The sequence below is a fragment of the Homo sapiens genome, chromosome 12 (assembly GCF_000001405.40).
Source record: "Homo sapiens chromosome 12, GRCh38.p14 Primary Assembly".
In the NCBI taxonomy this organism is placed as follows: domain Eukaryota; kingdom Metazoa; phylum Chordata; class Mammalia; order Primates; family Hominidae; genus Homo; species Homo sapiens.
Genome location: NC_000012.12, coordinates 3,256,942 through 3,280,559, shown reverse-complemented (window position 1 = coordinate 3,280,559; position 23,618 = coordinate 3,256,942). Strand labels below are relative to the sequence as shown.

General features: G+C 54.9%; 1 protein-coding gene across 10 annotated transcripts in view, besides 2 other annotated features; it reads right to left on the bottom strand.

Annotated features, from left to right (window-relative positions):
- The window catches only part of TSPAN9 (tetraspanin 9), a 209,181-nt gene that overhangs the window by 6,000 nt on the left and 179,563 nt on the right, over positions 1-23,618 (bottom strand). For 9 of the 10 annotated variants that reach the window (XM_047428125.1, XM_047428128.1, XM_047428127.1 and 6 more), the window contains 3 exons: positions 1,948-2,139; positions 1,494-1,568; positions 77-178 (listed from right to left, as the gene is read on the bottom strand). In XM_047428125.1, coding sequence (XP_047284081.1) covers positions 77-178; positions 1,494-1,568; positions 1,948-2,139 — 369 coding nt within the window. Of the gene's footprint in view, positions 1-76; positions 179-1,493; positions 1,569-1,947; positions 2,140-7,313; positions 7,460-23,618 lie in introns of those variants that run through there. The other variant, XM_047428129.1, reaches the window with a different exon arrangement.
- Positions 15,455-16,043: an enhancer, noted in NCBI's record as "H3K4me1 hESC enhancer chr12:3373683-3374271 (GRCh37/hg19 assembly coordinates)". NCBI's record gives its function as "activates a minimal SCP1, AML or CMV promoter by ChIP-STARR-seq in naive H9 embryonic stem cells {active_cell/tissue: H9 hESC(naive)}" and the evidence as "EXISTENCE:reporter gene assay evidence [ECO:0000049][PMID:30033119]".
- Positions 16,044-16,633: an enhancer, noted in NCBI's record as "H3K27ac-H3K4me1 hESC enhancer chr12:3373093-3373682 (GRCh37/hg19 assembly coordinates)". NCBI's record gives its function as "activates a minimal SCP1, AML or CMV promoter by ChIP-STARR-seq in primed H9 embryonic stem cells {active_cell/tissue: H9 hESC(primed)}" and the evidence as "EXISTENCE:reporter gene assay evidence [ECO:0000049][PMID:30033119]".

The window sequence follows — 23,618 nt, the reverse complement described above, 5'->3', positions numbered from 1 at the left end:
CCGGGGAAGGCAGCTAGAAGTACCGGCCGCCACCCCTCCTCCCTGCCTGGCCCCACCAGGGCGGCCCAGCCCGCACCTCAGCCTGGATGATGTTCCAGGCGTTCTTCAGCCCCACGTTGTTCTCGGTGTGGTACAGCAGCAGGCCTTCCTTCAGGTCCTTCTTGGCGTTCTCGTTCACCTGCCAGGCGGAGGGACACAGTGAGACGGTTGGAACCAGGACGCAGCTCGTCTCTCCAGCCCACCTCAGGTCACCCAGGATGGTGGGTGACAGATGAGGAGTGAGGAAGGCAGGGAAGGCAGCTGGTCTGGAAGGCCCTGCCCACTGGGGTGGGGGCCTCTGCTGGCCCAACAGAGGTGCGGGGTTAGGCACACACTCCCAGTTTCAGAATACAGCAGGCCCTGGTGCACCCACCGCCTCCCGGCAGAGCTAAACTCAGGGCCAGGGCTGTAACACCCAGAGGCAAAAAAACACACCACGTGCCTCCACTCCCCCATCCCAGGACCAGCCACACACACAGGCCACTCTGCCACCCCCGCCCCCCACTACACAGCTTCCCCACAGACTGCCCCTCTCAAAACACACCCTGGGAACTAGAGGGAGGAAGACAGGTCATGTGACCTTCACCTCCCTCACCGCTGTTCTACCCGATGTTGAACAGCAGCATCTACTCATGGCGCTGTTGTTAGAATTAAGGGAAACAATTCTCATAAAAGGGCCAAGAACAGGGCTGGCACAGAGAAATCTCTCAACATTGTTCTTTCTTCCTTTTCACGAGTGCAAAACTAAAAGATTATTCTTTCTCATCCTAACGATGTCTCTAACTTTCAGTGTGGCTCAGGCAGCTATTTCAAGAACTGCTCCTTACACAGTTCTGGAGTGCATGGTACCAAAGGGCCTGCCACGCCCCAAGAGACTGAAATCCCGGCCAACCTCGCTCTTGACTGCGAACTGCCCAGCCTGGCGAGGTTACAGGGGGTCACCCACCATCCTCCTGAACCCAGGAGCAGCGCCCGTCCTCAAGGGCTCTAGTGCAGGAAACAGAGCTTCCCTGTGCCTCAGTCCTGCTCAGCCAGCGTCGCCCAGAGAGTTCCTCCTTGTTTTTCATGGTTTGCTCTCAAATCACCCAGCCCAACCACCTGATGAGGTCTGAATCCCTTCTCCAAGTAGCTTAATTCCTTCCAGTGAGAGGGAGCTCACTAGCGCCAGAGGCAGCCCACTGCCATCTCTGGTCATGCAGAGGATTCCACTTCCTGGAACTATACAAAGTCAACTCTCCCATCCTCCAAATTTGCCTGCCCCATGCTGCCCCCATCAAAACCTTCCATCTGCTCTTTCCTTGGTAGCTTTCCCAACCCTTGGTTCCATGTTCCTTTCTGCACAGGTGCTGCTTGCCAGCACTCTTCCTCTGGCCAGGGAAGGGACCCTGGCCTGCTTGGCCCAACTCTAAGGGCAGTGACATTCCATATGCCCCCTCCCATCTGGTAAGGCTTACCTTGTCCATGTAGACAAAGAAGAGGATGAGTAAGATCAGCTCTGCTAGGAGGATGACCAACAGGACGATGAAAAACTGGAAAGGAAAGGGCCAGGCATGGGTAGGTGGTAATGGGCAGGGCTGAGGACAAGGAGGGTGTGGAAGGCAGGGACAGGCGGCGCCTAGGTGGGGCTTCCCAGGTCTGGGAGAAGCCAGCTCCTCCTGAGGAAACCCAGATAGCTAGGACAGAGACATAAAGGAGCTGACTAATCAGGGAGTGGGAGGGACAACCAGGGGTAGGCATAACCAACCATGAGGAGGAGGGGTGTGGTCAAGCCTAGAACGTTCTAGAAGCAGTTTCCCTGGGCTCAGGTTGGACACCCAGGTGGCTAATATTCCAGGTCTTGCCTGTCCCAGGGGTCCAAGTGCAAGGAGATCAGGAGTTGGAGGGGCTGGGGATTTGGACAGAACTTACGCTGAGGAGGAGGCACTTGTTTTCCTTGATGGCCCCCAGGCAGCCGAGGAAGCCCGTCACCATGACAATGGTGCCTATGGCAATGACCAGGTTGGCTGCAGACAACGAAGGGAAGCTGGGGGAGAAGGTGGCAAAGTTGCCTTGGGACACGGAGAGCCAGATGCCCACTCCCAGCAGCCCACAGCCACAGAGCTGGAAAGGAAGGAAAGCCCATTAGCCTGGCGCTGCTCTCACATTCGTCCATGGACCTGGGAACAGTGCAGGTCCCCACCCCATGCTCTGAGACACAGACAAAGTGAGAACCGACAAGGTGAGAACGGGACTACCGTTGGGCTGCAGACCCGAAGCATGTCGGCTGTGTGACCCAGACAGTCCCCTAGCCTCTCTGTGCCTCAGTCTCCCCATGTGACAACGGAGACTGTGCCAGTTTCAAGAGCCTCCCAGGTCATTCTGAGGATGGATTAAACCACACAGAGGCAAAAGTGCGTAACAAATACGTGGAAGGTACTGGACACATGTGAGTGGTTAGGTTACTCTGCATGATAGAGAAGAGGCCCCAGTGTCCAAGACGGAGGCCTGGTGAGAGGGGAGAACTGGGGTCAGGAAAAGCAAGAAAGACTTCATCTCTGGAGGTGGGAAGGGACCCTCGGAGTCGGGTTTCTTGGAGCCAGAACTTCCAGCGACTGTGTCCTGTTACTCTGACCCGAAGGGCCATTTGTCCACTGGAGTCTGAAGAACAATTTCCCACAGATGGAGAAAGGAGGCAGTCATCGGCTGGCTGGGGGCCTGGCCAGTGTGCGGGACGTGGGAGTCCACGGCTGCCTTCACCACCCATCCAATAAGCTGGCCTCTGGCATGATCGGCCCCCAAACCGAAAAGCAACTCTCCCCAACAGCACCCCTGGGGCTGCCGGCGCCACCAGCTCCACCTGGGGAAGCTTCCATTTCACCGGCTGCAAATCTCCACATCTGTCTTATTTTATGCTCGATATAGCTGGCACTCCCCGACTCCCTCCGCCAGCTCATGGGAAGTGTGCTGAGTCTGAGGAGCCAATCAATCAGTGAAACAGTATTTACTGAGTGCCTACAGCATGCAGTGTGCCATGCCAGAAAAGCTACAACCACTTTAAAGACCTGTTTTCCAGGGGCCTCTGTTCTGGCTGGATGGGAGCAATCAAAGTGCAAAATCTACCACTCCCAGGTGGGATGGACTGGTGCCCAGTCAACGCTACGGGCGCTCAGAGGAGGCAATCACTGTCGCAGTCATGGAAGCCAGTTGAAGGAGGCAGTCCCTAAAGGGTGGGTGGACTAGGGGCAGATGGAGGACGAGAACATTCTATGCCGGGTGAAAGTGCAGGTGGTAAGGGCTTGGGAGTCACAGACCCAAACAGGACTCCCGGCTCCAGCTTATCCTGGTGGTGTGAGCTTGCAAACCTCTCGTATGCAGAGTGAGAATATCATCCCCTTCCTATTGGACTGCTGTGAGAATTAGATTGGAATAAGCTACGTGAAGTGGGTGGCCAGCTCCGGGCACTGCTTGCTGGAAAGGCACTTCCCGGGCAGCTGTTCTGTGCCAGGGCCTGTGCAGACTATGCTGACTCCAGGAATCAGCCCAGCCCCTGCTCTCAAGCTGCTCTGGTTCCTGGGAAGAAACAGAGGCTCAGGGCTGAGACAGGGCAACCCGCAATTAGGCAGGGTAGGGATGCCCATGGGAAGGTGAGGGGAGGGGACAGACGCCTCCCTGAGGAAGGGCATCTCCTTCGCTTATTCCTCCACAAACCCAAGTGAACACCTGCGTATTCAGTGCCAGGCCCTGTTCTCCAAGCTGGGGAGACAGTGGTACACCTCACTGGCAAAGACCCTGCCTTCACGAAGAGTAGATTCTTACAGGAGACACTGACCTTATGTAAGCAACAAATGACGTAACTGCAGTTGCTGACATGCGCCACGAAGAAAAATAAGGCAATGTAAAGAGCCAGAAAATAACTGGGGAGGGTGTGGGCAGCGAAGGTGTCTTGGAAGAGGTGGTGTTTAAGCAAAAACCCAAATAAACAGGGGGAGGGAGCAACATAACTATCTGGGGGAAGAACGTTCCAGACAGAGAGAACAGCAGGTGCAAAAGCCCCGGAGTGGGAAGGAGCCTGGCCAGCCAAGGAGGAGCACGCTGGCCGTGTGCTACAACAGTGAGTGAGGTGACACATGGTAGGAGACAAAGCAGGCGGGGTGGCCGGGGGCCAGGCCAGCTGGGACCTCGCAGGTAAAGGAAACGTGCAAGTGTCCTCAGTGTGACGGGAAGGTCCCAGAGCTGGAGAGTGACATGATCTCACTGAGGTTTTCAGCAGATCACTCTGGCTGCTGTTTGGAGAAGCGACCGCGGGAGGGCCCGAGGGAGGCCAGGAGAGCAACTGGGAGGCTGCTGTGATTAGGCTTGGGTTTGTGGAGGAATAAGAAGGAGATGCCCTTCCTCAGGGAGGCGTCTGTCCCCTCCCCTCACCTTCCCGTGGGCATCCCTACCCTGCCTAATTGCGAGCCTCTCTTTCTTCCCAGGAGCCAGACCAGCTTGAGAGCTGGGGACGACTCATACCAGGAGGCTACGGAGGAGCGGTGAGAAATGGTCCAATTTGAGATGTTTTGAAGGTGGCATTGACAGGCCTTGCTGGGCTTTGAAGAATGAATAGGATTTTGATAAATGGGGAACCAGAAAGGTGTGCATGAAGAAAAAGGTAGGAACAGACACCGCCACGTATTACTAACCAAGAGACAGTGCAAGGAGCTGCAGGGGGGTCCGAATGATTTACGTCCAGCAGCTGCCTGGGTCCTTCACACTGTGGAGAGTGGGCCTGTGCCTCCTGTCCCCTGGCGCAGCCCCACATGGAACCACGTCAGGGCTCCCAAAGAATGGGCACACTGAGACCCACAGCATCGCCCAACTGGGCCATCACAAAGCTTCGCCAGGGAACGGGGCTAGCCCCGCCTACGGCCACTAGGTGGCGCTCCAGGCTGGTTCAGAAGCTCTGGGTTCGCCAGCGATGGCTGAAACTTTCATCCAAATAGTCACTCTGACTTTTCTTCAATCTGGTCAGTTTCTATGCTGCCGTCTCAATTTTTCTTTCATTAATCATACCATGGAGAATTTATGATCTTCATGCTGAAGATTTATGGCTCTAAAAGCCAGACCCTGGAATGAGTAAGCGGAAACCCCACTGCCGCAGGTACTCGCTGCAGGGGAGCTGCAGGGCGCCCCCACACGCTGCAGCTGGAGACACGCAGGACCCCAGAGCTCAGAGCCCGGACCCTTCTCGGGCCTGGAAAAGTTCTCAAAGCACAGCCTTCTCCTGAAGCGGTTTCCCACTGTGGGTGTACCTGCAGCGGGGGGCCCCTTCCGAGCCCTCTCTCCACTTCCCTCCTGGGATAAGTGCTGGGATGCTCAGGTACCTCTACCTAGGAAAACCTCTTAGGTCAGAAACTCCAGGACCTGGTCACCTCTCTTCAAACTGGTTCTCTGACTTCACACTCCACATCCTTTGATTTGGTCTTGCCAGACCCACCTGGGAGCCTTCTACCTCTCAGGGAACACAGCTGGTGCCCTGTCCCCAAATCTGCTTCCTTTCCCATTTCCTGTCCAAAGTCCTCCAGGCCCCCAGGAAAGATCTGCGGCCTACCCTACGGGGGCGCAGTCTGGACTGGAAGGCTTCCTCTCCAAGCCCTCAAACCTGTTCCTGCCTCCATCACAGCTCCCGCCTGGCACAACTCCACGCATGGTGCACGTCTGCCCAGTGAGGAGGCCTGTGCAGTACAGCGGGTGCCACGCACATCCCCACTGCCACGCTCCCATCCTCAAGGGGCTCCTGCCGAGATGAGCTCTCTGCTCCCATCTTCTGATGGCCCAACACTAACAGAGCCTCCCGGCAAGAAGAAAACACAAAGGTCACGCCTCGATTTTCCAGGAAGCTAAGCGGGGGGACAAGGAAGTCCCCAGTCACACTGCTGGGCTGGGACAAAACCTTGGTTTCTGGCATTTGGTGCAGAAGCCTTCACTACCTGCTCCCAGGGGACCTCCGACTGACAGGTGACAGGCACCAACACTGGGCCTTCGCCACAGGTCCCATGTCCAGATCACGGCCCCCACTGCCCTCCCTGCCCCTGGCCTCTAGTTTCCAGCCCAGCCTGCATAGAGCTGCCTGATTCTTTTCCTAAAATGCCTCTCATCATGCTGCTCCCTAGTGTGACCTTAAGATTCTTTAGCTCTCGGAGGCCCAATTTCCTTTAAAACTTGGGATTTGGACGAGATCATTTCTTAGGTCCCTCTGGCGCAGTCTTAGCCGAGTCTGAGACATGGTGCTCTCAGCCCTCAGCCCAGTGGTTCCCAATCAGGAGCAATTCTGCTCCCCAGGGAACATGTGGCATGTCTGGGGACGTTTTTGGTTGCCACAATGGGAGGGGCTGCTCCTGGCACCTGGTGAGTAGAGGCCAGGGGTGCTGCCAAACACCCCGCAGTGCACAGGACAGTCCACACAGTCAAGAACTGTCTGGCCCCAATTGTCAATAGAGTTTGAGAAACCCCGCCCCCTACCCTATCCCCCCACGCCAGGCACCCACCCTTGGGCTGCCAACATCTTGAGAACAGCCATTGGAGAAAGAATCTGATGTGTTCCCTCCAGCGGTGGGGAAGGGAGAGCCAATGACAGCGATATGCCCAAAGATGCCAGCTGGTGAGCTGGGGACAGCCGGGGCTGAGATCGGGGAGGGAGCAAGGGCAGGAGGGAGGAGGTGATGGCAGAGACAGGTTGGCCATGAAGTCTTGGTGAGCCAGGCCTGCCCCGCACAGGCAGGAGGGCAGGAAGTCAGGAAGCTGACCTCTGAAGCCAGTGCAGCGGGCAGGGAGAGGGTGCGGCAGGAGCAGGAGAGGGAGGTGCAGGGCAGGGGAGCCGCCTCTGGTGGAGGGAGCCCAGCACATAGCACAGGAAGGAGGCAAGGCCTGTCTGTGGTGGCACAGCCAAAGCTCAGGGCCGGAGAGCTTAGCTGGTGGCATTTGGGAAAATTCCCTTCCAAAACCAGGGGTTTGTCTCAGCTGAGATGACTGAGCTATAATCTAGCCCACGATGGGACAATCTGGGGTGAGGCAGGGTGACTCAGGGGATTGGGCCCCAGGCAATGCTAGCACCAACCCGCAGAAGGTCACCAGCCACTCCTGGTGTGGTCCAGGCCTGATTGATGCCCTCCCCGGAGCAGGTGCAGGTCCAGGGGCCAGCCTGAGTACCAAGCCTCCCCTGCCCCTTCCCCAGCCGAAGGCATTTCAAAATAACTTCAAATCAGGGCTACAAACAAATCCACATCCAAATTTGAGAAGACGAATCCCATCCTTACATTTGCCAATGGCCTCCTTGAGGGCCAGGATTTGGGTCTGTTGTTTTTGTGGTTAAATCCGCAGAGCCTAGAGCAGGGCTGGCAACGCCTTCAAATCCCACAGGGCGATCTGGTCTGGGCCGTGCCCTGACTCCGGAGGAGGGAAAGGGTGCAGGCCCCCAGCACAGAGAAAAGCCTCAAGTCATCAGGCTGTATCAGGATCTTCTTTGTCACCAGGGGCCCATCCACAATACGCGCAGCAGGTAAACTGAGGCCCAGTCAGGCTATGGCCATACAGTGAGCCCACACTCCAGCCTCACCTCATTTGTTAAGTCTTGTAGTTAGCTAATATCCCCACGGTGTCTTCCTTGTCTTCAGTTTGAACCATGCTGACTGTGGTTTAAATACAGGCTTCTGCCACGTGTCGTTACGTATGTTTCACGCAGGCATCCTATTTCTCTGGGGGTGAGGGACACAATTCCCCCTTCGGGCTTCCCCGTCCTGAGCTTCTCCACCCACTTCCATGCTGCTTAGATCCTAGGGGCAGCCACTGCCCATATCTCATGGGTCCCATCGGTCTCCCACTGGTGGGAGCGGCCCCTCGCCAGGGATGACTCCTCTGCCAGCGCCGGGCCCACAGCAGAGGACACACCTAGGACCTCTCAGGCTTCTGTGTAGACTTGCTGCCTACCCTCACTAAACACACACACACGGCCGGGCGCAGTGGCTCATGCCTGTAATCCCAGCACTTTGGGGAAAAAAAAAAAAAACACACATGCACTTCCAGGACCCAGGTTTGTGTCTTATCCATTTTTCTTCCATTGTAGGGCCCAGAACATGCCTGGATTACTAGATAAATATTTGCTGGAGGAATGAATAAATGAATGAATGATGGGGATGGATGGAGGGGCCTGAGTGGGCCATAGCTGGGGAACAGGACCAGACCCAGACATGCAAATCCTCCTGAAAAAGCAGCCTCCTCTTCACCCCGTCTTCCCCACTCCTGGAACCCCCAGTGCCCTCAGGTTGCTCCCACCTCTGCTGCCCTATTTTAATCCCCACTGCCTCATGTGTCTGCAGAGCCCCACAAGGCACCTGGGCTTCTGGCATCAGATGTCACTGGTGGCCCCTGACCTGGCCCCCCTGACACCCTCATCCACTTTTTGCTTGCAGGAAATTTTCAAATGCTAGGACTGAGTGCTCCCTAATGTTTCTATGAGCCAAGGCCAGGCCCAACATTTAATGGCATTTAATAAATTAGTGGATGTGGAGAATTTTTAAAAAAGAAAAAAACCAAAACAGCTTTAATTTCACAGCCTGACATGCTGGCTAGTAATGAACCTGCCTGGCTCTGGAAGAAGCCGACCTGCCAAGAACTTCATCATGGGGAGCAGAGACAATACATCGGTGCCAGGAGCGCAGCCGCTGCTTTGTATTTCAGACACCCCTTGCCTCCAAGGGCCCCCGCAGCTCATTCATTCTCACAGCCATAAAGGGAGAGGCAGGAGGGGCAGGGAAGGCAAGAGAGCAGACGATGCCTCCAATTCTGCATGGAGAGAAATGAAGGGACAAAGTCACAGACACATCTTTGCTGAAGTCACCCAGCAGGTAGGAGGACCACAGCACCTTGGAACCATGGGGTGGGATGCAGCCACACGGGTCTCCCAGGGGCTGAATGCTCACCATCCCACAATGCACTCCATTCTTCTTTTTTTTTTTTTTTCTGCATACCTCTAATCAGCCAGGAATTCTTTCTTATTAATGCAAGAATCTACTTCCCTGTGGCTAACATGCATCAATCCTAGTTTTGCCCAAGAAGCCCACTAAGAACAAGTAAAACAGGCCTGTCTCAAACTGAAAGTTAGGCTCCAGCTATGGTAGGACCCAGCTCTTCCCCTCCTACGTTCTGAGCTCTATACTTCTAGTAATTCAGCCTAAGGCCCCATTGGCTTGAGTGGCAGCCATAGCACAGTTTAGTCTCACACTGAGCTGGTGCATAACTTCAAGCCAGATGGCATGATTCCTTGGTCATTACTGTTGGACCCCACACTTTCTCTCAAAGCCTCCAATTCACCTTCATACCTTCACTTTGCAGCCCCTAATCTCACCAACTTACAAAGGTGTCAGGGAGATGACACCCATATTTTTGTGCCTAATTTTCCTCCAAATAAACATTACATAAAGCATTTGCATATCTACAACCCAGTTACATTTTGATTATACCAGAATGGGGTTATTCTCCATGTGAGACAGTTCTAAGAGAGAATGTCTACCCACGGCCAAACTTAAGGGGCATCGTGTTTGGGGGCTGCAAGCCTCTGCAGTTATAAAGCTCCTGAATTATGTTTCAAGACTGTCAATTCTCTCCAGCCAACTTTGTAACCCTTCCCCAATTGACCAAAACCCCTAGCAGTTGAGAGTGAGTCCTGTTACAATACCTACACCTCTTGCAATCTAAAATCCCGAAGTGTATATTGGGGTGGAAGAGTCCACGATGAAGGAGATTCTATCCGAGACTTTGGGGACAGCCCCTACCCCCCTCCAGGGGTGTCAGGGCCCTGCGTGGTGGGATAAATGCCCAGTCACCAGCAGTCCTGGCCCCCAGCTCCACAAAGGGCTTGGTGTCCTCTGGCCCCTAGCTGGGAGCAGGGTTGGCCCTGTTGAAGTGCTACCCATCTGTTTGGGCTTCCTGGCCTAGCCTCAGTATGGGGGGCACCTGCCCTGCCTGGGGGCTTGCTCCAATCAAGGCATCTGTGAGACTCTAGGTTGGTATAGCCCTGGGAGCAGGGAGAACCTGAATCTGTTCCGGGCTTCAAAGATGAAGGCATGGGTGAGAGATGGCCCAGTCCCCAACACGGCGATGCCTAGATAGCAAGGACCAGAGAAGGGGAGGGATGGGGGCATCTATCATGTGCTGTCCCCACACACCCCATTATAAGCTATGCCTCTTTCTGGGAGAAAGGCTACAGGACGATGCAGGTCACCTCCCGCACCTCCATCTATACCCCATCCCCAGGCCACCTGACAGCGGGCCTTAAGTCCACTTTCTTGGGTGCCAGCATCTTTCTACTTCTCAAACTGACCCACAGGCCTTCTTCCTCCATGGGGAACTGGAAAAGAAGGTAGAGGCATGTTCAGAACCTCCTAGGGGGCCCGGTGTAGGGCCGAAGCTGTCAGAAGGAACAAAGTCCGAGGAACAGCCCTCAGAAGGACCACAAAATGACGTGTGGCCGGGATGCCAAAGAGCAGCAGATAATAGAGAGCACCTGCCAGCCTTGTAGAAGAGGAGTGATCATTCACCAGTCCATAAACATCGATTCCCGCTGCCGCCGCAGCCCTACCAGGACAGGCTGTGCACGCGGGGCAAAACCACATCTTCTTCCCAATCAAGCCCATCCTGGGCCTGGGCAGTGGGGCCAGGGGCTCTTCCCAGACAGAGGATGCACAGTGCAGCCACGAGAGGGGGTGCGGGTGGGTGCAGCGAAAAAGGGCCACACAGGGAGCGCTTGTGACTCAGCAATCCCAAGCTCCTACCAGCCCGTGCAGCTCCTGCTCACTTTGGGCATGGAAGGATGTGGCCTCTAGACTGCAAGCCTCTGCTGCAGACCCTGGGCAGATCAAGTGAGCAAGAGGGCACAGCTGTCTCCCATCCCTATGCAGGAACACAGAGGGCAGGCTGCAGGAACACAGAGAGGGCAGGCTGCAGGAACACAGAGAGGGCAGGCTGCAGGAACGCACGGAGGGCAGGCTGCAGGAACACAGAGAGGGCAGGCTGCAGAAACACAGAGGGCAGGCTGCAGGAACGCACAGAGGGCAGGCTGCAGGAACACAGGGAGGGCAGGCTGCAGGAACACAGGGAGGGCAGGCTGCAGGAACGCACGGAGGGCAGGCTGCAGGAACACAGGGAGGGCAGGCTGCAGGAACACAGGGAGGGCAGGCTGCAGGAACGCACGGAGGGCAGGCTGCAGGAACACAGAGAGGGCAGGCTGCAGGAACACAGGGCAGGCTGCAGGAACACAGGGCAGGCTGCAGGAACACAGAGAGGGCAGGCTGCAGGAACACAGAGAGGGCAGGCTGGAAAAACACAGAGGGCAGGCTGCAGGAACGCACAGAGGGCAAGCTGCAGGAACGCACAGAGGGCAGGCTGCAGGAACACAGGGAGGGCAGGCTGCAGGAACACAGGGAGGGCAGGCTGCAGGAACGCACGGAGGGCAGGCTGCAGGAACACAGGGAGGGCAGGCTGCAGGAACACAGAGAGGGCAGGCTGCAGGAACGCACGGAGGGCAGGCTGCAGGAACACAGAGAGGGCAGGCTGCAGGAACACAGAGAGGGCAGGCTGCAGGAACACAGGGCAGGCTGCAGGAACACAGAGAGGGCAGGCTGCAGGAACGCACAGAGGGCAGGCTGCAGGAATGCACGGAGGGCAGGCTGCAGGAATGCACGGAGGGCAGGTTGCAGGAACACAGAGAGGGCAGGCTGCAGGAACACAGAGAGGGCAGGCTGCAGAAACGCACGGAGGGCAGGCTGCAGGAACACAGGGAGGGCAGGCTGCAGGAACGCACGGAGGGCAGGCTGCAGGAACACAGAGAGGGCAGGCTGCAGGAACGCACGGAGGGCAGGCTGCAGGAACGCACAGAGGGCAGGCTGCAGGAACACAGGGAGGGCAGGCTGCAGGAATGCACGGAGGGCAGGCTGCAGGAACACAGAGAGGGCAGGCTGCAGGAACACAGAGAGGGCAGGCTGCAGGAACACAGAGAGGGCAGGCTGCAGGAACACAGAGAGGGCAGGCTGCAGGAACGCACAGAGGGCAGGCTGCAGGAACGCACGGAGGGCAGGCTGCAGGAACGCACGGAGGGCAGGCTGCAGGAACACAGAGAGGGCAGGCTGCAGGAACACAGAGAGGGCAGGCTGCAGGAACACAGAGAGGGCAGGCTGCAGGAACACAGAGAGGGCAGGCTGCAGGAACACAGAGGGGGCAGGCTGCAGGAACAGAGAGGGCAGGCTGCAGGAATGCACAGAGGGCAGGCTGCAGGAACACAGAGAGGGCAGGCTGCAGGAACGCACAGAGGGCAGGCTGCAGGAACGCACGGAGGGTAGGCTGCAGGAATGCACGGAGGGCAGGCTGCAGCACCTACGGAATAGGCATGGGGAAGAAATTCCCAAGAGGGAGGCTGACAAACCAGTCATGGCCTCCACTGGAGGCTTCGCTTCCCTGAGCTGGTGGAGGGGACTGCCCTTTGCTGGGAGAGTAGGGGGTGAGGAGGACCCTTCGACATGCCTTTTCCCCAAACTCTGGAACTTGTCAGCACTGGTCAGAAGGCAGCGTGGAGCCTCAGGCCGCCCGCACCCAGTAACACTGCATGATGTGCAGGGTGGGCACTCTACGTTGGGCAGGAGTGGGGGATGGTCAGGTGGCTCTCATGACCTGCATGCCCAGAGCCACGGCTGCCCAGGGAGGAACCACGAGGAGGCAGCCTGAGGCCCCGGCACACGGCACTGTCTCAACTCCCAAGGTCACTGTAAAGTGGAAGGGAAGGCACCAAGAACTCAGAATAGCTTGTCAGACGGGTCTGAGAAAGGATTTTCCAACCACCAGCATATTTTTTCCTTCCTGCATTTGTTTTGTTTTGTGCTTCTGGGGAGAAAGGCATTTCTGACAGCATCAAAGCACACAGTAATTGTGAAGCCAGGGCTGCTGTGAGAGGCAAGATGGGCTTAAGAAACCAACCTTCAAGGATGGCAATGTAACTGGCAGCTACCTGGGCTTCCCAGAGAAGGCAGAACCATGGGCAGCCCAGACCTCAGGACTTGGAGCCCAGGGGAGCAGGAGGTGCAGTGCAGCTCTGGCAAGCCACTTAACCTTTCTGAGATGTTTCTCTGATAAACCAGAGAGAGAAGAGCACCTCCCCAGCACTCAGGGACACCGTGGGGATGAACAGGGTTCCGCCTGCCGAGCACTTTGTGTTCCTCAGAATATAAATGCTGTACAAGGTGTTATTACTCAAACTCCTTGGAAAATGCAGGGAGAACAGGACAAGGATACCATCTTCTGGCAAAGAGCTCCAATCGTCTAGGAGACTGTAACTCATTCTTCAGGATGGCGAAGGGGCTGGGGGCTCCATTCTCCCTGTTTTGGGAAAGGAGGTGCCCCCAGAGGTGAAGAAAAGTCACACAGTGAAGACTTCATGACTGGGTGCCTCTCGTTCGGCAGAGCTGCCTCGGCTCCACCCATGGCAGGTCGGAGGCCCTTTCAATAATGTAATGAGGGTGATCTTCCATGGCTCTAGCTCAGCAAGTAACACCATAATTACACAAATAGGTATCAGGAAAGACTGCCTGACAACCAGGTCCACCTCTGGCCCCAACACAGCCACCCACACACTCTCTAGCTCTAGCCCTTTGACAGGGCCCACATGTGGAGCATCTTCTCCCTGGGGATCCTGTGCCCACAGCCTGATTATTTATACTGCCAGCCGGGAGCCGCGTCCACCCACGCCAGCATTTTGGCATTTCTGACATGCTTCATGGGGGACACGGGATGGCTCAGCGCAGGTCTCTCTGCCAGAGATGGTCTCAGCACCAACTTAAGTGACAACCTGAGATCCCTCCCTGCCCCGTGCCAGACTGTGCCCACTTCAGGGCTCTCCTGGTCACACAGGAGACTGTGACCCATCCTGTTTGCAACATGTGCATGGCAATTCAGGTTACTCCGTTGAAAGCTGCTGGCCTGTCCACAGTTTCCCCAGACAAACGTGTCCCAGGTCACGGAGCTCTTCGTGGTACAGCTGCACCTGCTCCCAGTGCCCACGGCCCGCCTTCCCTGCCCTTCCTCCTCATGTTCTGTGGCTGTGGACGAGTGCCGATCGTGCACCAGTGCTAGTCTGAGTGCTTTGCCTCTATAGCCTCATTTAATTCTCCCAACCCAGTGGCATCTTTGTCCTCCCCATTTTGCAGATGACAGAACACAAGCATAGCGAGGTTCAGTGAAGAAACCCAGGACATCTGACTCCAAAAACCACATTCTTACCCACCACCTCCTGCTGCTGGGATCTGGGTCATCTGCCTGGCTCTTTCCCATGAAAGCCAGAAAGAGTGTCACCCAGACACGTCCCTACTCTGAGAAAGGAAGGCTAGCTGTGATAGAGTGTGCAGACACAAGCCTCTGGGCCTGGAGTGCTCCTTGTAGCCGAGGAGGACGGGATGAAGAAGTAGTGTTGGTGAAGACACTAGTGGGGATGGAGGCAGCCAAGCAGAGGAGAAAGCTGGCATTAACCGAGCCCGTATCACACACCAAGAACTGAGTCCCACCCTTTCCACAAATGCCATACAGGGCAGTCACTATCATTTTCTCTGACTTTACAAAGGATCAAGGAGGTTGAGTATCCTGTCTAAGCTCACACATGGAGCTGACAGAGCTGGGATTTTAACCCAATTTGCTATGACCCTTGTGATTATAACCTCTACCTGCCTCCTACAGACCTGAGAAAGATCTAAGATTCCATTTTATCAAACATGTTCGACAAATTTCTAGCCCAACCTGAGTTGGGGGAGGTGACACAGGCATGCCAAGAAGTGGAGGGACCCAGACACACAGCCCAGGTGGTGGCGTGGGGAAAGGAGGGGGCGCACGGCCACAGCAGGCAGGGGCAGCGGACAGACGCTCAGTCCAGCCGAGGGCGACTACCTGCTTTGCTGATTCTGCCAGAGCTGTGAAAGCTGTTGGCTCCACCACTCTCCAAGAGGAAGCAAGGAGGAACAAAATAAACAAATTTGCAGCTCAGTGGACCTTTTTGCACCTGTATCTCCACAAAACAGGAGCTCATGGAAATAATAACAATGCTTTGCCATTTGTTTTCCAGAGGGCGCTTTCATGTACCGTGTCTCTGCAAACGGTGATGACGATCTTGAGTGGAGCCCATTTTACAGGTGAAAACACTGGAGCCCTTGGAGTTGGACCCTTTTCCACGCGGTGCCTGTAACTCACTGATGTAGTGAGCAAGAATGTTGAGAATTTCCTTATTTGACCCACAAGGATGCGGAGTTTCAGAGGAAAGCATAGAAGCCACTGAAAGGATTTCTGCTTTTTGGAAAAGAGTAACCTGCCCATGGGATCCTCCAGCCAGTTAGTTACTCAGCAGGTACCTTGCACACATCTGCCCTGAGCCCAGCACTGCGCTGGCTTCTACCACACACAAGATCGTGAGACAGGGTCCTACCCTGGGAATAGCCGGGCCAGCTGGACCAACACCACCAGGCTGGAGAGGTGGCTGCAGTGTGAGATAGGACAATGGCCAGAGCTGGAGTGTGTGGGTTAGAGACAGCCGTGGCTGACTCTGGCCTTGGGTCCAGGTAGACCCGGTTAAAGTTCCAGGTTCCCTCGTTTACCAGCCAGCAGGACCGCAGAAAACGACTTTTTCTCTGGTGCTCATGTTTTAAATGGGAATTAATGGTACCTACCACATAGAGTCGTCGTCAGGATTAAATGAGGTTCATGAAAATAAACTTCCTAGCATGGCGCCTTGCACACAACTATAAATGAAAGCCATTATGAGTATTTATAGCCTGCAGCCATCCTTCCCTAGGTTACGGAGGCCAGCCGTGAGTCGGGAGCCTGTGGTGGAGAGAGGCAGGGAGGTCCTGCCACTGCCCGCACTGCCCCGGCCCCAGCCGGCACACAGAGGCTGCTCCTGGGCCTCTCCGAGCCCTGTCCACCCAGGCCTGCAGCAGCGTCTGCCCAGATGGGCTCTACTCCCTCTGCCGTCCTGCCGGTCCCCAGCCACCCATCTCCGGGAGGCGGCTTGCTTTCCCGATTTGCAGGCGTGCTTTCTTTTGGCAGGGAGCTGCTGCCGTCTGTGCTCTGGACCGTAAAACAAGTTTTCATCAATAAATTAAGATAAGCGGAAAGCCAGCTCCAGAGGAGGTGGGTTGAGGCGGGCTGGCGGGCGGGAAGCTGTTCTGTGACCCAGAAGGGGCCGAGGCAAATCCAAAGCAAGACTGGGTCCCCACCCCCTTCCCCGGGTCCCCTGTGCCCCATTCGACCCAGGCCTCTCAGACAGGGGGAGGATTGGGAGGTCACCTGCCTCCCTCTGGCCCCATTACATCCTCGAGGCGGGTGAGCCAAGTGTCACAGCGACAGGTACAGTCAGGCTCTCAGCAATGCTCTGAGCCAAAGTAACGGTCCCAAGTGCTCTGCTGGGTGACCTAAATCACTGAGACACTTGCCTGCCCAATCACTACCTGATAAAAACTCTGCAAATAAAAATGCTCCTCTCACAGAGCCTCCTTGCTCTTCATTGTAAACCCGGTTCACAAAATGCACCTTCCACACCTCCACCTCCAGACCCGCTCACGGCATGTCCCTCTACCTAAAAAGCCTTCCTCTTCCCTTTGCACTGTTCTCGGTCCAATCCAGAGCCATCAAGGCCCAGCTGAAGCCCCACCTCTTCCTCCAGGCTCACAATCCTCCCTCACCCCCCAACACTCTGCAGTGGCTCGACTGGCCGTCATCGGCCCCAGAACGTTCTCCTGCCTTGTTAGTACTGACTTTGCCGGGTGCCTGTCCTGCCTCCCTTCAGACCTCTCTGCACAATTCCCTAGTATCAAGCACAATGCTGGGCACAGAGAGGCCCTGGTTTTCATAAACAGACATATATGGATTGTGGGAGCCCGAGTGAAGGAGGGAAGTGGGAATGCTGAAGCAAAGAAGTTTTCAGCTCAGCAACAGGAGCGCCTCCCCAGGCCGGTGCGTTGCTACACCACCTCCTTCAGACCCTCCTGCTCATACAGGCCAGAGCATATGGAGGAGAAGGGCCATCTGCCCGTCCACCGCCACACGTGGAGAGGTGCGCCTCTCCGCATATGCTTATGAGCTGACAGACAGGTAAGCCTTTAGACGAAGCGATGTCATGAAGCCCAAACAACACGGCTCACTGACTATGTGCTGCCAACGGGCCAGGTCATCCTGGGTGTCACTCACTCCTCTGAGCCTTGGTTTTCCCACCTATAAAACAAAAGGTTGAAACTAATAATATCCAAAGCCCTCTCCAGCCCTAAGAACCTATGACTGTGCTTCTGCTTAGTCCTCTCCCTGGCTGTATGAGACAGGTAAGGCAACTGCTATGAGTCCATTTCACAGGTGAGCAGGCAGAGGCCTCCGAGGCTAAGTGACTTGCCCACAGAGCCAGGAGGCTGGAACCCAGCACATCTGCCTCCCTAAGAGTGGCAGGAAGTGATGTCCAAGTGTCACGTGAGCTGGGCCTGAGACGTGCTGCCATTTACTGCTCGCCCCCTTGTGAGACGACATCATGGTCAAAGGCCCTGGTTAAGGAAACCGAGGCTCGGAGATGCGACTTACTCAGGGTCCCACCATCGAGGTCTGATGCCAATTTCCTGCCTGCCGAGGGAAATGGCCATTTAAATACAAGGGAGGAGATGGCAGTCTCAGGCCACAATGCCATTAAATCAAGACTGCTAATTACACCCCAACCTGGATATCAGTCAGAATCAATTACGTCTGAGTCCAGGCGCTTTACTCACCTGGAACGAGCGGAGCTGTGCGCGGCCTCTGACCAATTACAGGCTGGGGGAGGCTCTTAAGTCAGATCCCAGCAGGCCCTCCCTCCGCTCCTCCCACCCCTACACGGTAAGGATAAGCATTCCCACCACCAAGACCTGGAGGGGGAAAGATGCCATTTCATAAAGGGCAAACGGCAGGGTGGAGGGATGACCTATGTGATAAATAGTGAGCTGGCAAGAGGCACCGAGAACAAAGTTCAATGAACAGAACAGAAATATATTGAAAATAGCAAAAAGAAACGATTACTACACATTTTCATATGAGATCCGAGGAATACATTTGCTCTTGCTTTTGCTTATTCAACAGAAAAAAAAAAAAAGAGCAGCAGCCAGAGAGAGCCGAGGAGGGCACGGCAGAATGCAGATGCCTGCACTTTGTGGCTCTGCGTTCCCTTCAGCTCTCAAAAGAGTGACTTTTGAGATACAGGCTGGCACGGGAGCCAAAAGAAATAACACTGCAAGTGGAGGGATTTAGGGTGCTGCCTCCAGGCACCCACAAAACAGACACCCACAAACAAACAGGGAGCAGTGCCACTGCCATCCACGTGGCGGCTTTGCATCTCTGGAAGTAGAAATTATTCAAGAGAAAAAGAACCAGATTTTACTTGGAGCTAGAACCTTAAGGTTTCTGGCACCAGCTGCTCAAGGGAGCTAGAGTCTGGCTTCAGTTCAGGAAACTCTGACCTCTGTTGCAAAAGCAAACCTCCAACGATGTAATCCTGCAGACTCTGCCCCTTCCGCAAAAAGCGGGTCACCAAGTCCCTGAAATGGGGATGCTTAGCCAGTGCCACCCAGGCCAGAGCATCCTTGGGGGAAGGGCAAGGCTGCGTCAGGTGCCCTCACAGTCACACAAAGCCCAGTGTCCTCAGTCTGTGGACACTGGACATGCAGGACGGGTCAGGGTCTTGCTCTTGCACCAGGTGCAGGTACCCCTCAGGGCTTCTTTTCCCAGTTCGTCATGAGGGTGAAAACCAAGGTTTCCTGAACAGGGTGCCCACGTTGCTTCTCAAATCGCAAAATGCCCGAAACTCCCTGCTTGCACTGAAAAGCAGTAGGCCCACTTCCTGTGTGTCATGCATGCCCCGAGTCACATCTTCGGAGGCAAAGTGTCTGTCCTAGTCTTTTGAACATGCTTCTCCGCCTGTGTCCCCTACTTTGGAGACGCAGTTCTCCATCTATTCTTCCAGCCGGGAGTCACAGCTTGGACCTGGGGCCCATGGTTGAGAGCGTAGGCTCGAGCCAGCGCCTAGGTTCTGAATCCCAGCTCTACCCCTTGCCAGATATAACTCTGGGTGAGCTGACCTCAGTGACTCCAAATCTTCATCTGTAAAATGGGGATAATAATGCTATCTCCTCCAAAAATGCATACGGTACTTACCATATTAAGCTGTTGTGAATATTAAATAGGACAAAACTTCTAAAGCTCTTAGAACAAGAACACAGCCTAATGCGGAGTCAGTACTCATACAAGTTAACTATCACCATCACCACTATTACCCTCCACATTTCATCCACCTGCTAATCCTTAGGCCACATCCCCGCAAATCTCCTGCAGCCACCTCTTCCTTTCCACTCTCCCGACCTGGTTCCCAGTCTCATCCCTTTGGCCAGAACACAGGGTAGGAGTTCGGGTTGGTCACCCCACCTCCTCTCTGTCACCACAATCCAATCACTCTGCCCAGAGCACATCACACCTTCCAGACCCGAGAGGGCTCCTACAACCCAAGGGATATGGCTGATCATGGCGTTCCTTCAAGGCCTCTAGAGGCTCATCATTTCCATATTCTTTTGCAACTATACCTGCAATCTAGGGTCCTCATCCCTCTGGGAACACACCCCCTGTCTTTGGGGCTGATGCCTCTACTCTGGGAGTCCTCCACCAGCCACGCCCTTCCCTCCACCCTCCACCACTCAGCAGTGCCTATCATTTCCATGAAGGGCCCATGGCCTGCGCCCTCCCTGCCCCTCCACCTCTGTATTCCAGGAGCACCTGACTTCCCTCACTGAACACATTTTGCCCTGCAGATATTCACTGCTGTTGGACTTGCCCCAGCGAACTCTTTGAAAGCAGGCCTGGATCTTGCTCATTTTGCATCTCCTACGGTGCCTCGCGTAGAGTAGGATCCCGAGAGATATTTTCTGAGCTGAACTATGTTTTCACAGAAGGCCAGCTCCCAGCAGCACGGGACTATGAGGGTTCGCCCTGTTCTGTGTAGCCCCAGCTGGTTCCCTGGGGAAAAGTTTCCACTTCTGCTGTCAAGAACCACAAGGGTCAAGCCCCATCCCTACAAATACCAAGTACATCCAAATTCTTCACTGGCACAGAAATGGTGTTACATCCACTGGGAACAAACCTGCATCCCCACCCCAAGGCATGTGACAACAGGGACTGCTAATGAGCTTTGTCCGGGTAACTCATTCACGCCATCATCTTGCTCTTTCCATAGTCACTTATTAAGCACAAACTATGCCAAAAACTATGTCCAGCACCGCACAGGATGGTAAAATGCCCTGAGGGGCCACCCCCATCTGACTCCCGTTGAGCGGAGTGGGCAGCCCTGCCTGGGAGCTCCAGCCTCCTGCACCCACGTGCCCCCTTGTTATCTCTGCCTGGATGCCTCACAGGCATCTCACGCGTACTAGGTTCTCAGCAGAAATCTTCCTGCTCAAGCTACAGAGAACCAAGTGACTCTTTCATCCATCAGTGAGGCCTGCCAGCTCTGCCTCCAACTCCCATCTCCAGTCCATCCATCTCTCCCCACCTCCACTGCTACACTGCTATCATTTTCTGTTTTCCCAGCAGCCCTTCTGGCTCCTCCAAACCCATTCCCCACAGAGCAGCCAGGATGGTCCTTGTTCAAATTTCTCCAGTGGTTTTTGCTCACATGTGGAACAGAGTCCTTCCCACGGCCGACAAGACCTGGCCTCTGCCTTCCTCGCCACCCCCGTGCTGGGTTCCCACTCACAGGCCTCTGCTGGGTCCGAGGCCCATCACTCTGTTTTGCCTTTGGTGTTCCCTTTTTCCAGAATGATCTTCCTTAGGTAGTCACATGGCTGGCTCATGCTTATCCTTCAAGTTTTCCTTGCTTCCTTTCCGTTTCTTGTGACAGTCTGTTACTACTTCAAGTGTTTATTTATCATTGTCTGTCTTCCCTGCTAAACGTGAGCTCTGTGACAGGAGAGATCCTGACTTGCTCCTCATGCACCCCTACGGTGATGCACTGTGCCAGGCACATGGTAAGGGCTCAGTAAATACCTGTAGAAGGAGGGATGGAGGGAGGGAGGAGACCAGGGATTGGAAATCTGTCCTTGAGAACTTTCCTCTAAAGTACCATTTAGTATATGATGAATAAAGTTCTAGAGCATCACCAGGATCCTGGGAGTGGTAGCAGGGTACTGAGTTACGGCAAAGAGAAAATGCTGCAGGCTGTGAAAAGCTCTGTCAAAGAAGAGCAAGAAGGAACTTGGGCTATGAAGGCGGTGGACTCCAGTGAGGCGAAATACCTGTCCTGGCTCTGCAAACTCAGGAAAGTGACTTAACTTCTCTATGCCTTCATTCCTCACATACAAAATGAAAATGATAGCAGCAAACTAATAGGCTAAATAAGCACCATGCTCAGTACAGAGTGGACATTCATGTAAAATTCCTTCTTTCTGGATACTGGCTGGGGGCTCAGACCCACACTCTATTTCTAATTAAATCAGCCCAACCTCTAGCTCCACAGGTGTTGGGCTGCCTAGAGGCACCATCACTGGGGTATCAGCCATCTCATCTCAGGATCCCACCTTAAGGACAAGAGACAGTGGGGGGCAATGTAGTCTGGCTGCCCTCTGGGCACTCTTGGTCCACTGAGACCATGAATACATTCGCATTGTGCATTGAGATTTCAATAAATCTCTGCTGGAAGTAACCAAGGGAAGTCTGGCCCCAGGTCAACCCACCATTCTCATGGCTTGGGAGAAGATCTTGGGAGCCGGCACTTGAGGGCAGGGGAGTGGGTCAAGGAATGATGTTATTCAGCGCTGCTTGGGTTCTAGAGTTACCCCAAGCTCCCTGCAGCCTTGGTGGGAGGAGGAGGAGGGAAGATAAGAAATGGTGTCCACAAGATTGCCTGACATTGTGGTCTCAAATGCCAAGCAGCAGCTCAAAACAGGGTTAGTCAAGGCTCCCACGACCACTCTTCATTGCTGCCAGAAGACAGCAAGCTACATGACCCAGGCCAGAGACATTCACTGAGGTCTCCCTCCCCACAGTAATCTAGGGCCTGCCCTCTCTTTCCCCATCTCAAAGGAGAGGACACCAAGGTGATTCTGGGCCCCAGAATATATCCCTGGATGGAAAGGACATGTCTTAGACCCACAGGACTCAGACACAAAATGAATCTCGCCAAGGCTCTCCCTTCTTGAACCCCCAGAGCCTGTGGACTCAGCCCGAGACTGAGCAAGCTGCACCTGCAGACGAACCAGCCCTGGAGACCCCTACACTGTCAAAGCCATCCCTGCACCTCTCTCCTCTGCCACCCCCTCAATCATTCTTCCTGCAATTGCTTTTCACCATGCCATGTCCATGCTCAGGAGCTTCACTGGCACCCACTGCCCATGAGTGGAGCCCAAATCCTCTGCCCTGCACTCAAGGTCTTCCATGAGCTGACCCCAGGTTTATCTCCCAGGGAGCCCCATTGTGAACATCTTACTCCACAATACAGGGAGGGAAGTTTGTCATCCCATAAACATGGCTTTGCTCAGGCCACACCTCTGCCTGGGGGGAAGGGCCTGCTTGTCCTGCAGAACCATCTAAGATCCTCCTCCTCTGAGGTCTCTTTCTCTGATGAACACAAAAAGAAACAGAAGGAATGAATCAGACCCTCACCACCTCTGGGCACCTGCTGCACAAGTCGCCTCCCCGCCGCCCCCCTACCCCTCCCGCCCAAAGTCTCTTGACCTATCACACTTGTGGTTAGAAAGAAACCATCACAGTAGGTAGAAAGGGTGTGAGAACAGGACAGGCAGCAGGCTGCCTCTGGGAACCCTGCTGAGATGCCAGCGAAGAGGGGGCAGGAGGTGCAGGAGACAGGCCTGGCTTTTCACAAGAGAGCTTGTTGGGGATAATTTATTCCCACAGTGTCTCAGCAGGTTTCAGTCAGTTGAGTTTGTAATAGGACAAGCAGCCACTGTTGTTCTTGGATGCTGCAGAGACAGCAGCCATCAAGCAGAGGATGGCTCGTCGGGGGCTGGGACACTCCATGGGAACCAGATTTCACAGTCCTGGAAAGAAGAGGTTCCAAGAAACCCATAGTATGGTCTATAAATCCCAGCAGGAAGTAGAGCAGCATCCTCCACTTGGGAGGAAATGGGGTAGGACCTGGAAGAGAAAACCAGGTTGAAACCCCAAGGTGCACGAAGGAAAAAGAGCAGAGAACTGCCCACATGCTTCCTCCGAGACCCCTAGGAGAAAGCAGGACTAGAAACCCACCCTTACTCCCTGCAGAACTGGCGAGATGTCATGCCACCAGCAGACTCAGGTACAAAAGCCCAAGACCCACAGAGCAGCACTTTCTGCTCTTGCCTATAAGGTTGGAGAACAGTACAAGAGTCGCTGGAAACTTGGTGGGGAGCGGTCTCCTAACTCATCAGACTGTGAGAAGGGTGACAGGATGAGAAGAAAACCCAAACTTCAATGTCACCTGCCTGGTACCTGTCACCCAACTCACCCTCGATATTCAACTAAACCAGGTTCTCCCTGGATCTAAG